General features: G+C 38.7%; 1 long non-coding RNA gene across 4 annotated transcripts in view, besides 1 other annotated feature; it reads left to right on the top strand.

The window, feature by feature from the left end:
* LOC105369147 (uncharacterized) overlaps positions 1-14,472 on the top strand; it is a 55,281-nt gene that overhangs the window by 7,996 nt on the left and 32,813 nt on the right. The window contains exons 2-3 of one of the 4 annotated variants that reach the window (NR_148213.1): positions 4,921-4,985; positions 12,802-12,845. The exons of 1 other annotated variant lie outside the window; for it this stretch is intronic. This is a non-coding gene — a long non-coding RNA (uncharacterized LOC105369147). The remainder of the gene's footprint in view (positions 1-4,920; positions 4,986-12,801; positions 12,846-14,472) is intronic. 2 more of the 4 variants (NR_148214.1, NR_148215.1) reach the window with 2 other exon arrangements.
* Positions 9,337-10,536: an enhancer, noted in NCBI's record as "CDK7 strongly-dependent group 2 enhancer chr8:104292515-104293714 (GRCh37/hg19 assembly coordinates)". NCBI's record gives its function as "activates an origin of replication core promoter dependent on BRD2, BRD4, P300/CBP, MED14 and CDK7 cofactors, with strong dependence on CDK7, by STARR-seq in HCT116 cells {active_cell/tissue: HCT116}" and the evidence as "EXISTENCE:reporter gene assay evidence [ECO:0000049][PMID:35650434]".

Here is a 14,472-nt window from a genome sequence, read left to right as displayed (position 1 = left end):
GCACAGACAACAAAAGCGAACTTACATAAGTAGAACTACATCGAACTAAAAAGCTTCTGCACAGCAAAGGAAACAATCAACAGAATGGGAAGGCAATCCTATGGACTGGGAGAAAGTATTTGCAAACTACGTATCTGATAAGAAGTTAATATCTAAAATATATAAGAAACCCATACAACTTAATTGCAAAAAATACAAAACAAACAAACAAAAAACAAAACAAAACCAACCAAAGAACAAATAACTAAAAAATAGGCAAAGGACCTGCGTAGATGTTTTACCAAATAAAACATTCAAATAGCTAATAAGTATATGAGAAGATGCTCGACATCACTAATCATCAGGGAAATGCAAATCAAAACCACAATGAGATACATCTTACACCTCTTAGGATGGCTATTATCAACATGATGAGATAAATATTGGCAAGATATGGACAAGAGGGAAACTTGGCACACTACTGGTGGGAATGTAAATTAGTGGAGGAACACCTCATTTCATTGCATTTTGCTTTATTGTGCTTCATAGATACTGTGCTTTTTACAAACGGAAGATTTCTGGAAATCCTGCATGGAGCAAGTCATTGGTGCCATTTTCCCAGTGATCTGTGCTCACTTCATGTCTCTATGTCACATTTTTTTAATTCTTACAATATTTCAAACTTTTACATTTTTATTATATCTGTTATGGTGATCTGTGACCAGTGATCTTTGATGTTACTATTTAATTATTTGGGAGCATTGCAAACCATGCCCATAGAAGATGGCAAACTTATCAGAAAAATGTTAAGTATGTTCTGACTGCTCCACTGACTGACTGTTTTCCCCATCTCTCTCCCTCTCCTTGGGCCTCCCTGCTCCCAGAGACACAACAATATTGAAATTAGGCCAATTAATAATCCTACAGTGACCTCTAAATGTTCAAGTGACAGGAAGAATCACATATCTCTCACTTTGAGTCAAAAGCTGGAAATGATTAAGCTTAGTGAAGAAGGCACGTTGAAAGCTGAGACAGGCGGAGAGGTAGGTCTCTTGTGCCAAACAGTTAGCAAAGTTGTGATGCAAAGGAAAAGTTCTTGAGGGAAATTAAAATTGCTACTCTAGTGAACACAAAAATGATAAGAAAGCAAAACAGCCCTATTGCTGATATGGACAGAGTTTGAATGGTCTGGATAGAAGATCAAACCAGCCATAACATTCCCTTAAGCAAAAGCCTAATCCAGAACAAGGTTCTAACTCACTTCAATTCTATGAAGGCTGAGAGAGGTGAGGAAGCTGCAGAGCTAGCAGAGGTTGGTTCATGAGGTTTAAGGAAAGAAGCCGTCTCCATAATATAAAAGTGGAAGGTGAAGCAGCAAGTTCTAATGGAGAAACTGCAGTAAATTATCCAGAATATCTAAGATCATTGAAGAAGGTGGCTACATTAAATAACAGATTTTCAATGGAGACTAAACAGCCTTATGTTGGAAGAAGATGCCATCTAAGACTCGTAGCTAGAGAGAAGATGTCAATACCTGCTTCAAAGCTTTTAAGGGTAGAATAACTCTCGTTAAAGGCTAATGCAGCTGGTGACTTTAAGTTGAAGCCAATTCTTATTTACCATTCCAAAAACTCCAATTCCCTTAAGAATTATGCTAAATCTACTCTGCCTGTGCTCAATAAATGGAACAACAAGGTCTGGATGACAGCACATCTGTTTACAGCATGGCTTACTGAATATTTTAAGCCCACTCTTGAGACCTATTGCTCAGAAAAAAAGATTTATTTCAAAATATTAGTGCTCATTGAGAATATATCTGGTCACTCAAGAGCTCTGATGGAAATATACAAGGAGATTAATGTTTTCATGCCTGCTAGCACAACATCTATTCTGCAGCCTATGGATCAAGGAGTAATTCTGACTTTCAAGTCTTATTATTTAAGAAACAAATTTCATAAGGCTATGGCTGCCAGAGAGGATGATTCATCTGATAGATCTAGGCAAAATAAATTGAAACCTTCTGGAAAGGATTCACCATTCTAGATGCTATGAAGAACATTCATAATTCATGGGAGGTCAAAATATCAACACAGAGGCTGGGCGCAGTGGCTCATGCCTGTAATCCTGCACTTTGGGAAGCTGAGGTGGTCAGATTGCTTGAGCCCAGGAATTCAAGACCAGCCTGGGCAACATGGCAAAACCCCATCTCTACTAAAAGTACAAAAAAGCCAAGCATGGTGGTGTGTGCTTGTAGTCCCAGCTACTTGGGTGGCTGAGGCAGGAGGATGACTTGGGCCTGGGAAGTTGAGGCTGCAGTGAGCCGAGATTGTGCCACTGCACTCCAGCCTGGGCAACAGAGTGAAACCCTGTCTCAAAAAAAAAAAAAAAAAACCCACCATAAATGAGAGTTTGGAAAAAGTTGATTGCAACCCTCATGGATGACCTTTGAGGTGTTCAAGATTGAAGTGGAAGAAGAAACTGCAGCTGTGGTAGAAATTGCAAGAGAACTAGAATTAGAAGTGGAGCCTGAAGGTGTGACTGAATTGCTGCCATCTCATGATCAAACTTTAATGGATAAAGAGTTGCTTTTTATAGATGAGCAAAGAAAGTCGTTTCTTGAGGTGGAATCTACTCCTGATGAAACTGTGAATATTGTTGAAATGATAGCAAAGGATTTAGAATATTATGTAACTTAGTTAAAGCAGCAACACAGCTGAAGAGGATTGACTCCAATTTTGAAGGAAGTTCTGTGGGTAAAATGGTATCAAACAGCATCACATGCTTCAGAGAAATCTTTTGTGCAAGGAAGAGTCAATCAATAAGGTACAGTTCATTGTTGTCTTATTTTAAGAAATTGCTACAGCTACTGCAGCCTTCACCAACCATCAGTCAGCAGCCATCAACATCAAGGCAAGACCCTCCACCAGCAAAAAGATCATGACTCATTAAAGGCTCAGATGATTGTTAGCATTTTTTAGCAATAAGGTATTTTACATTGTTTTCTAGATGTAATGCTATCACACACTTGATAGGCTACAGTATATTGTAAACAAAAGTTTTATATGCACTGGGAAACCAAATAATTATGTGACTTGCTTTATTGCAAAATTTACTTTATTGTGGTGGTCTGGAACCAAACCTGAAATATCTCCTAGGTTTACCTGTATGCTATATGGAAAACAGTATGGAGGTTCCTCAAAAAATTAAAAATGGAACTACCATATAATCCAGCAATCATGCTTATGGTTATATATCCAAAAGAACTGAAGTCAGTATGTTGAAAGGATATATGCACGTCCATGTTCATTATAGCATTATTCACAATAGCCAAGATATAGAAACTACTTAAGCATTTGTTGGTAGATGAATGGATAAAGAAAACATGATGTAAGTATACAATGAAATATAATTCAGCCATAAAAGAAGGAAATCCTGCCATTTGCAACAACAGAGATGAACCTGGAGGACGTAATACCAAGTAAAATAAGCCAGACACAGAAAGACAAATACTGTAAGATCTCACTTATATGTGGAATCTAAAAAAGTCAAAATCACAGAAGCAGCAAGTAGAAAGGTGGTCGCTAGGGGGATGGGGGAAATGGGAAGATGTTGGTCAAAGGAGAAAAAATTTCAGTTGTAAGATGAGTAAGTTCTGGGTTGGGCGCGGTGGCTCACACCTGTAATCCCAGCACTTTGGGAGGCTGAGGTGGGTGGATCACGAGGTCAGGAGATCGAGGCCATACTGGCTAACACAGTGAAACCCTGTCTCTACTAAAAATACAAACAATTAGCTGGGCGTGATGGCAGGCATCTGTAGTCCCAGCTACTCGGGAGGCTGAGGCAGGAGAATCACTTGAACCTGGGAGGCAGAGGTTGCAGTGAGCCTAGATTGCACCACTGCACTCCATCCTGGGTGACAGAACGAGACTCCATCTCAATAAAATAAATAAAAATAAGATGAATAAGTTCTGGGGATCTAATATATAGCATGGTGACTATAGTTGTGTACTGTATTATATACTTGAAATTTGCTAAGAAAGTAGATCTTAAGTGTCTCACCACACACACACACACACACACACACACACACATACACATACCACAAAATGGTAACTATGTAAGGTGATGAATGTGTTAATTAACTTGATTGTGGTAATCATTTCACAATGTTTATGTATATCAAATTATCACATTGTATGTCTTGAATATACACAATTTTTATTTGCCAATTCTACCTTAATAAAGCTAGGGAAAAAGAAATACAAAAAATAAGCACAATGGGATAAGTAGTATCATAGGTTGATAAGTGAAGGAAAACATGGAGTTAAATTTTTAGAGAAAGTGAAATTAAAGAAATATGACTATATTTCAATTCAATAGAACGGATTTTATAGAGGAGGTGGGCTTTGGGGAGCTACTTGAATGTCAAATTATTGAGAGATTTGGTGATCTCGACATGGTATGTGGATGGGGAGATGGTTTAGAGGCAGCAATGGGATAATTTAATACAAAGGATCTTGTATGTTCTCACTTGAAGGCAGAAGCAGATGTACTATGAATAATGAAGCTTAAGCATCAGGGACCTTTCCAAGGCTCTATCTAATTTGATATTTTGGAATCTTACATTCTTTTTCTTTAAAAAGGTCTCAAAATTGTATAAGTTTAAGAACCTCACAATCAAAATTCACTCTTCTTGAATGGAGGAAAATAATATAGTGGAGACCAGGGAAGTTGGGTATTTCAGATGAGTTTTGAGGCAGTTAATAACATCTAGAAGAGTTTAATTGATTTCTCCTTTGAAAGGGAAAATGGTGGAATAGGAGGTTGCTGACATATATTTTTTGAATAATAAACCTTGTATTACTAGTTAACTTTTGTATGCATAAATTTGACAAAACTTAAAACTATGTATTTATTTATTTATTCATTTATTTATTTGAGGGGAGATGGAACCCTGAGCAGCCCATGTACATGGAAGATCTTTATTGCAGAGATCTTCAAACCAGGTAAGCCCTGCCAGCTTTTGTCCCTCCACTCCTTTCTCCAATCCAGAGTTCCTTGCTGCCAAAGGAAGAATTTGTGGGAAGAGGAAACTCTTCTCTCTCGTTGCTCGGCCTGGCCCTCCACCTTTTCCATTAATGATGAAGAATTTCTTTTCATCAAACGGTCCTCTTCATTATCCTCTTTCCCTGGGTTGGATTTTTCCCCACACTGCCATGTCTGAAAGTAGAATTGAGTTATCCTCAATGTGGATTCAGCCTCCAAGTAACTCTACTAATGAACAACTTAATTCACAATAAAAACATGGGTCAGTCTTGACTCTTTTTAAATGTAATTTTGGATGATCACTTTTATTTTTAATTTTAAAACATGGCCGTAACTAAAATAATTATACTTTTGCTCAAATTGAATGGATTATAATCTTAAAGATAATATTCAAGAGAGAGAGATGATTTAAACAAGAATCTTATTTATAAAATATTTCTATCTTAGTAAGAACTCTGGATAGAACAAATGTTGTCTTTAATTTGATTAACAAATTCATTGTAACATAAATGACAATAGGAGAATTATATGGGACGTTTAACAACTAGAGACATCTGAGATTGTAAAAGCCATTCTATGGTCTTACTATAGTTATAAGACAAACTGAAAGTTACAGTATGTCTTCCTACATAAAATTTTCTTAAGTTAAAAAAAAACACACAATTGGCAGGTCTAGGCTTGAGTTGGGTGAGACTGGAATATAATGGGAGGGACAGACATAGAGAAGGGAGATAGAATACCTATTTCCAAGCCAGTATAAGAAACTATTAACTTTGGGTCCCTTATGGCTGCATGGAATAAGTGGGAGTCTGATGTGGAAAGGAGACTGTTGCCTTTCTTTCACATCAATCATGCATGATTTTATGAAAACACGTTGGAGGAAAATAGGAAAATTTCACAGTATAGTATATACACAAAAGCAAAAGGCAAAAATGAAATAAATACACAAAGGTAAAAACAACAATGGTATACCATACACAGCTATTAAAATGGTCAAAATCCAAAGCAGTGACAATACCAAATGCTGACAAGAAAGTACAGCAACAGGAACTCTCAATCTTTCCTTGTGGGGATGCAAAATCGTATAGTCACTTTGGAAGACCATTTGGTTGTTTCATATAAAACTAGACATACTCTCTCCATATGATCCAGCAGTTACACTCCTTAGTATTTACCCAAAGGTGTAGAAAATGTATGTTGACACTAAAACCTGTACATGGATGTTTATAGCAGCTATGTTTATAATTGTCAAAACTTGGAGGTAACCAAGTTGTCCTTCAGTAAGTGAATGGATAAACTGTGGTACATCCAGAAAATGGAATCCTATTCAGCACTAGAAAGATGGGCTATCAAGCCATGAAAAGACATGAAGGAAACTTAAATGCATATTACTAAGTGAAATAAGCTAATCTGAAAAGTCAAAATACTACAGTATGATTGCAACTATGTGACATTTTGAAAATATGGGAAAACTGCATAGGCAAAACTATGTAGACAGTAAAAAGTTTGGGCCAGGTGTGGTGGCTAACGCCTGTAATCCCAGCACTTTGGGAGGCCAAGGCAGGTGGATCACCTGAGGCTGAGGTCAGGAGTTTGAGACCAGCCTGACAAACATGGAGAAACCCTGTCTCTACTAAAAATACAAAATTAGCCGGCTGTGGTGGCACATGCCTGTGATCCCAGCTACTCAGGAGGCTGAGGCAGGAGAATCGCGTGAACCCGGGAGGCAGAGGTTGCGGTGAGCCAAGATTGCGCCATTGCACTCCAGCCTGGGCAACAAGAGCAAAACTCTGTCTCAAAAAAACAAAACAAAAAAAAAAAGATTGGTGGTTGCCAGGGGTTAGGAGGGAGAGAAGAATAAATAAGCAGAGCATAAAGGATTTGGGGGCAGTGAAACTACTCTGTATGATACTATCATGGCAGATGCACGTCATTGTGCATGTGTCAAAACCCACAGAATATAAAACGTCAAGAGTGAACTCTAACACAAACTACAGACTTTGGGTGATAATGATGTGTCCACGTAGGTGCGTGGATCATAACAAATATACCATCTGGTGGGGGATGCTCATAGTCGGGGAGGCTGTGCATGTGTGAGGGCAGGGGGCGATATGGGAAATCGCTGTATTTTCTGCTCAGTTTTGCTGTGAACCTAAAGCTTCTAAAAAAAATACAGTTGAAAAGGAAAGGAGAGGAGAGGGGAGGGGAGGAGGGGGCAGGAAGGATTCCATGAAAACTTCCCAGAACGAGACTGACATCTTGCTTTCAAGAGTCTGGTGGTTAATTTAAAGGGTGGAAGGGGTTGGGGGCTCCTATCTGGGCCTTAAAAAGCCATGGGCAAGAGGGAGTTGAAATTACCAGAGTTTCCTAAAACATCAGTTACATAGTGGGTGAAATAAAAGCAAGGTCTGTGCAGACACACAGGCACTGACACTACTCTGCCTAGAGGCAGTGGTCAAATCCCTAGCAGTGGGCGGGGGGTGGGTATGGGGGTCCTAGGGGCTTCCCACTGCCCCACATTAATTAAGTCAACAATTACTAAGCTGTACTCTGTGTGTGTGCGTTAGGGGTGGGGAGAACTGCACCAGGGCCCCAAGAGGTATCTGGGAAAAAACCCACAATGGCAGGGAAGTAAGTGATACTGCCTCCTCTAATGGGGAAATTAGATAAGGCAGAAGAAATTTCTAGAAAAGTATATATAGGTTGGTCATGTTTCATCCAGTTTTGTAAATGGAATTTCCATTTAAGATTTCTCAAAACAGAGAGCTATATACTACCAGACTTTGCAGAAAATGTTGGAATAGACACATTCCTTGGCTTTTTTCCTGTTGGGCTGGTTTAACTGTAGTTGAAATGTTGGCAGTCCATTGTATTCAATAAGAAAAACAGGGATTTAAGACATTTTGTAATTATCTTGAGCTTCAGGGAAACTATATCTAGGAGAAAAAAAAACTGACCCATCTTGGATGTCAGGCATGATTATTAAACCTGCTTTTAACATTTCATTTAGCATTTGATTCCCTACTTAAGGCCTTCGCATAAGCCCATCTCATATGTTTCTTAAACCTGATTTACACGCATTTCCAACTGTGAATAGAATGGAAACTCTCATACTGGAGAACTAATTCTCTTTTGGAAAAGGAGTGTTTCTTCTACTTGCTCCTGTGTTTTTGGTAATGAGTCTTTTAAAACATTTCTCCTGATCATAGATTCTAGGTTTCAAGCTTAATAGTGAGATTACTCAGAAACAGGCAGTAAGAAAATGACTTTCAGGTGGGAGAAGCGTGGAACATGAACAAGATATTTGGTGACATCCCAGACTCTGCAAAGAAAGCCTGGTGAAAATAATCAGGAAATACAACTACTAGGTTTTGTGAGTGCAAGTATAGTTCCTGCACACAACCTTCCCCTTAGGACGACTAGCAGGAGGCAATGTGGTGTGGCTAATAGCAAGAACTGTGGCTTTAGACTTTCTGGGTTCCAATACTGGGCTGGGCATTTACTAACTCTGTACCTTAGGTAAGTTCCTTAAGTTCTCTGACATGGTTTCTATATCTGTGAAATCAGTTTCATAACAATAATCAATTTTTCGCTGCTCGTTGTGAGGCTTAAGAATTAATTTATGCAAAACACTAAGACTATTTCCTGGCAAGTAGTAAGATGCCCAATTAATGTTGGATGTTGCTATGTCCATTAAGGAAAGCCCCTGGAGGCCTTCTGACATACAGGCAGATGATAGTGGCATGAACTATTCTGACAGGGACATCAGGCATTCCTTTTATCTTCCCTTCATGTCAGGAGGTGCTTATGAGAATCATGCAGCAACCATTTCTTATTGCCCTTGAGTTTATGGGTCAACTAGTTGGTTCTTCTGGTCTCCACTGAGCTTGCCCATGAATATGTGGTGAGCTACAAGGCAGCTAGGTGGTTCTGCTTCTAGAGGTTAGCTAACTATTCACTGGGACATTTCTATTCTCTTCCATGTAGCCTCTAATCCTCCAGCAGGCTAGTCTAGCTACAGTTTGTTCACTTGGCAGCCTCAGGGTTTCAAAAAGGAGATTGAAACTATGCAAGGCCTTTTGAAGCCTAGACTTAGAATTGGCATGAAATGTCTTCTGCTGCATTCTTTTGGGCAAAGCCAGTCACAAGGCCAACACAGATTCAAGGGTTGGGGAAATACCATCTCTCAATGGGAGGAGCTTAAGAGTCATCTTGCAAAGGAGAATGAATAAAGGAAAGGGAATAACTGCAGCCATTTTCCAAACAACCTTCTACACCACACAATTTAATAATTTCTTATTCAGCATTTCTGGCATGTAGTCATGTACCTGGAACATCTTCCAAAATGGGTAGCTCACTGTTTTACTAGGCAGCTCTCACTGTGGGAATGTTTTCCCTTATTATCCCTCTGTAGAGACACAGACTCTCACAGAATCTCTGAATCACAGAATTGAAGGTCATTCAGGCAATGGACTCTTTGAAGCCAGGTTCCTGTACAGGAAGCCACAGGAAGTCTGCAATTTCCACTGATCTGTCCCAGTTATACCTTTTGGAGCAAAACAAAACATGTATTTGTTACTCATTTGTTTTTAAGAGCTTCTAATCAAGGCCAACATGGGCATTACATAACAGATACATGCTCCATTCCAGCCACTGTTTATTCATGGTCCTTTATTTATTCATGTGCTCAATATATATTAAGCAGTTTCCATGGGTCAGGAATGCATCTTAAGGTAAGTGAGGTGTGGGGTTTCAAGTCACTTAGATTTGGATTTAAGCCTCATTTTACTATCTGCCAACTGTGTGAGACTGGGGAAAGTTATTTAATTTCTCTAATTCTCAGTTTCCTCACCTAAAAAATGGGTATGATTATCCCTACCTCACAGGGAGATTGTGATAGTTAAATAAAATAACAAATATAAAGTGCCAGGCCTATACTGGACACTCAGTTAATGGTAGCTATTAATCATTATTATTAAGGGATAATAATATTCTGGATATGTTTTCTGTGATCTCACCATCTCCTGTTGTGATCTCAAATTATTCTTCATGTCTTGACAGTGCTTCCTTTTTTGTTTTTTAGACAGAATCTCTCTCTGTTGCCTAGGGCTGGAGTGCAGTGGCGTGATCTTGGCTCACTACAACCTCCACTTCTCAGGTTCAATCCATTCTCCTGCCTCAGCCTCCCGAGTAGCTGGGACTACAGGCGCCCGCCTCCACACCTGGCTAGTTTTTTAATTTTTAGTAGAGATGGAGTTTTGCCATGTTGGCCAGACTGGTCTCGAACTCCTGACCTCAGGTGATCCACCCCCTTCAGCCTCCCAAAGTGCTGGGATTTCAGGCATGAGCCACTGTGTCTGGCCAATTTTCGTATTTTCAGTAGAGATGGGGTTTCGCCATGTTGACCTGGCTGGTCTTGAACTCCTGACCTCAGGTGATCCACCTACCTCAGCCTGCCAGAGTGCTGGAATTAAAGGCTTGAGCCACTGTGCCCAACCAACAATGCTTCCTTCTTTAGAATGAGTATTATTCTGCATATACACTAGAGTATAGCATAGTGGTTTGAGAAAATGGCCTTTGCAGTCAGACATATCTGTATTTGAATCCTGGCTCAGTCATTTACTAACTCTGTTATTTAAACCCTCAAACCTCAGTGTATAAATCTGCAAAATAAGAAGAAGAATTCCAAGCTTTGGCATGAGAATTATAAGAAAGAAGGTATATAAAACCCTTAGCTTGGTGCCTGACACTTAGTGTGTCCTTGCACTCCCACTCTCCACTAAGTGGAAGCTGTGCATTTTATTCAATGCATTTTTGTTATGAGTAGCACGGTGCCCTGGAAAGAATCAGAAGAAAACAGGTCAATTCACTCCAGCTCTTGGAGTCTTCACCTCAGTGTGTAAGGAAGGGGACCAGTTTTGTGGTCCCCAGGGTACCTGATAGCCCAGCAATTGCTTCCTCCAGATTGTTCCTTTACTTCCTTTATCAGAAATAGAATTATGTAGGAGTGTTGGAGTGTAGAAAGTGCATGAAAATGGAAATTCACAGCCCTTCTAGATGAAATAATCCCATAATTTTGAGCATCTTGGCTACCTAAGAATGTGCCAGGCCACCCTGGCTTTGGTGATCAAGTATGACTATCTGGAAAGTCAAAGTTGGAGAGAAATTGCCCTCTTTGTCCAGGCATTATGCCAGGAGTTATATATGGTGTTAAACAGAATATGGGGCGTCACAGTAGCTGTAACTGAAAGGGCAGGCAACTAGATAGTCTGTTTTGAAAAGCACTAATGACCAGGGGCTAATTTCCTTTCACTGGCTACATTTTGTTCAGAGGTGGAAAGGAAGATTGGAGCAAATTATTCACTTCCATATTCTAGTGCCTTAGAATGTTTTTTAAAAATCTGAGTCTTGGCAAATGATTTCCTTAAAGATAACTCCCCCAGACATGATGAGTAGATTTAATATGAGGAGAGGATTGCAGAACAGTTGTGGGACTTATGACTTTTTTAATGTAAAGAGCTCCCACTAGTGTTAATAGAGGATCCACAGGAAACATTCAGTGCAATACACAGCATTGCCTGACTTTGGTGAAAGGCCTGATGTGCCATCACATATTATGAATAGCAGCCCACTGTAGCTGCATGCAGCTCATCTTGTTATTGTTGGGTTTGGTTCCATTTAGGACTCAGCATTGTTTTATGTTTATTCTTCTTTTTCCAAAGTCTCGCTGTAAGTTATCTAAGAAAAATACTATGTCTAAGACGTAGTTGAGCAATGAAATTATTTTTTTTATTGTTGTTTTTTGCCCCTATGAGAAAATCATTTCACTCCCAGGTGTGTCTCATTAGCACCGTTTCTGACTTAAACAAAGGTGCTCCTTTAACACAGTTGCAAGAGTGGTTCTGTCTTGTGAGATTCCTGTCATTTCAATTGGAATATTGTTCTTTAAGCAGCTGACAATATATAGGCTGTATCAACATTATTTGTCTAAGAGATATATCTCTAGATGCTCATCTATTCTCTTAAACCACTGAAAGAGCAAAAGAGATTATGAGAGAGATGGCTAGGTTTGGCACAAAATATGACATTTCTTAATAAATTAAGCCTCTGAAATGTATTAGAACTATTATAAAACACTTGTAAATATTTATAACTCTTTTTTGTCTTTAAGCATATGATAAGGAAAAGTCAACATAAACAGTGCAGTGTGTTCTGGTTAAAGTCTTAGCATGTCAGAGTGGTGTCAGAAAAATCACCCCTGGGAACAAAAGAGCAAAGAGCAAGAAAGCTTATATCATGGTGTCAGGTCCAACAAACATTATTTTGACATAATCATGAACTTCCATAACATATGATAATTAAGTCAGTCTTCCATAATAGTATGAAATTTCCACAATGTATGACAATTAAGTCAAGGAAAAGTGATCCATAATATAAGAAGAATAAGAAGACATTGAAATTACCAGCTAGACAAAAAGACAATAACATAGAAAAAAGGGAGAAAGAAAATATTTAGCAAATACATTCACAAAATTATAGCTAAAAGAAACATTAGGAGACAAATTGGACTACCATCTCTCCATAGGCTTTCTGCATCTTACTCTGTTCCCCATGATCAAAGTTTTGAAAATATTTCTTTTAAGTGATAATTATAATGAACATTTATTGGGCACTTACCATGAGTCAGGTTTTTGCAGAATGGTTGCATCATCTTGTTTAGTTGTTCCAATAACTCTTTAATCCTAAGAGGTATTATTATTATTGTCACTTTTCCAGATGGCTCGCAGAGATTGAGGAACTTGCCCAAGGCTACGCAGCTTGTGAGTGACAGAGCCAGGGTGGGAACCACGTCTGTCTGAGCATTATGATCTGAGCGTTATGCCTGCCTACTCCTAGCTCCAATCTCACACTTCTATTATCTGCTTTGCATCGTAGATGCTAAATCTATGCTGGCCAGTATGGAAACTACTAGCCACATGTGGCTTTTTAAATTAAACTAATTTAAAATTTTGTTCCTAGTCATCTCATACACATTTCAAGTGCTCAATAGTCCCCATGTAATTAGGGGCTATTGTATCAGACAACACAGATCATAGAACATTTCCATCACAGCAGAAAATTCTGCTTCATATCAGGAGGTGCTTATGAGAATCCTGAATTCTAGACCCTGTAAACAACATTTTCTTTCAATAAACTCTCAGTGCCAATGGAAAGCACTGATGGGAGGTGGGAGAAACCACTGTTCTTCCTCTAACAACCTCTGATGGCTACAGACTCCGGTGTCCTTTGGCAATTTTAGCATCACTGGCTGTGGGCTATAGCTGCTGGTAAGCAGTGTGTAGCAGTGGTGGCAGCTGCAGACCCCAGTGATGTGTCAGTGGTTCTGGCAGCAATAGCAAGCCTCAGCAGTAATAGAGATGAATGCCTGACGGGACTGGTAACAGCAATTTCTTCCTTTCTTTTGCTCCAGCCTTAGGGTGGTAGCAGATTCCTGCAGTTGCTAATTTCTCAGTTATCTCATAGTCTCATTTTTACTCCTTCAGCCCTTCCAGCACTTGTAACTATTTTTCCTATTAACTCCTCAATTTGAAATACCTAGATTGTTTCTAACTAGACTCCAACTCTGAGTCTAAGATCTTAACCAGTAAATTATGGTTGAAAGAAAATGAAAAGTGTTAAGATTTAACCAAATGTAGAGTGACTATTATCTAGACCAAAGCTGGAGTGAATATTAGCTAGAATGAAAGCCTAAACAATCAAAATACTTTGAGAAGCAGAGCTATAACTCTTTTTTCTGTGGTGAACATTTATTACTTACATAAAAATATTTTTTTAAATTTAGAAGTTACGGATCTTCCCTTGATCTTTAATCTTACCCTAAATTTTTATTGACAAACCTAAAATCAGATTTATTAGGGATACTAAAATAATCAATTAGATTAATTCCATGATTAATCAGCTGATTTTGGCCTCAAAAAAATTACAACTTACACCTACTATACTTAACATATTCAAAGTTAATACTACTCATTAATGGTTAAAGGGGTTGAAGATACAGAGGATGGGAAGATCCCAGAATGTAAATTCTCCTATTATTTCTAATGATAAATCCATAATATACAATATAGAAATCTATAGTATCTATGAGTTTCTATAGAATCTATAGTTTCTGTGAATCTAACTGCTTAAGAGAACTTTCCACAAAGGAGACATTTGATTGCTGACTTCCTGCTTATTCATGCTCTTCCCACCAACTGTTGATCAGGGACAGAAATAGTAAAAAAGGATGAGGTGGGACTTCCAAAATGATAGCTCAGGAGTTACATGGAGCTTCTCACCAGCAAAACAGTTATTTAACTGATGAAAACTATTTTTAAAAAATCATTCAAAGTATCTGGAGGGAATATGACAATGAAGAAACATTCATTCAAGAAAGTCTACTAAATT

The sequence above is a fragment of the Homo sapiens genome, chromosome 8 (assembly GCF_000001405.40).
Source record: "Homo sapiens chromosome 8, GRCh38.p14 Primary Assembly".
NCBI lineage: Eukaryota > Metazoa > Chordata > Mammalia > Primates > Hominidae > Homo > Homo sapiens.
This window is presented reverse-complemented; position numbering and strand designations above follow the sequence as displayed.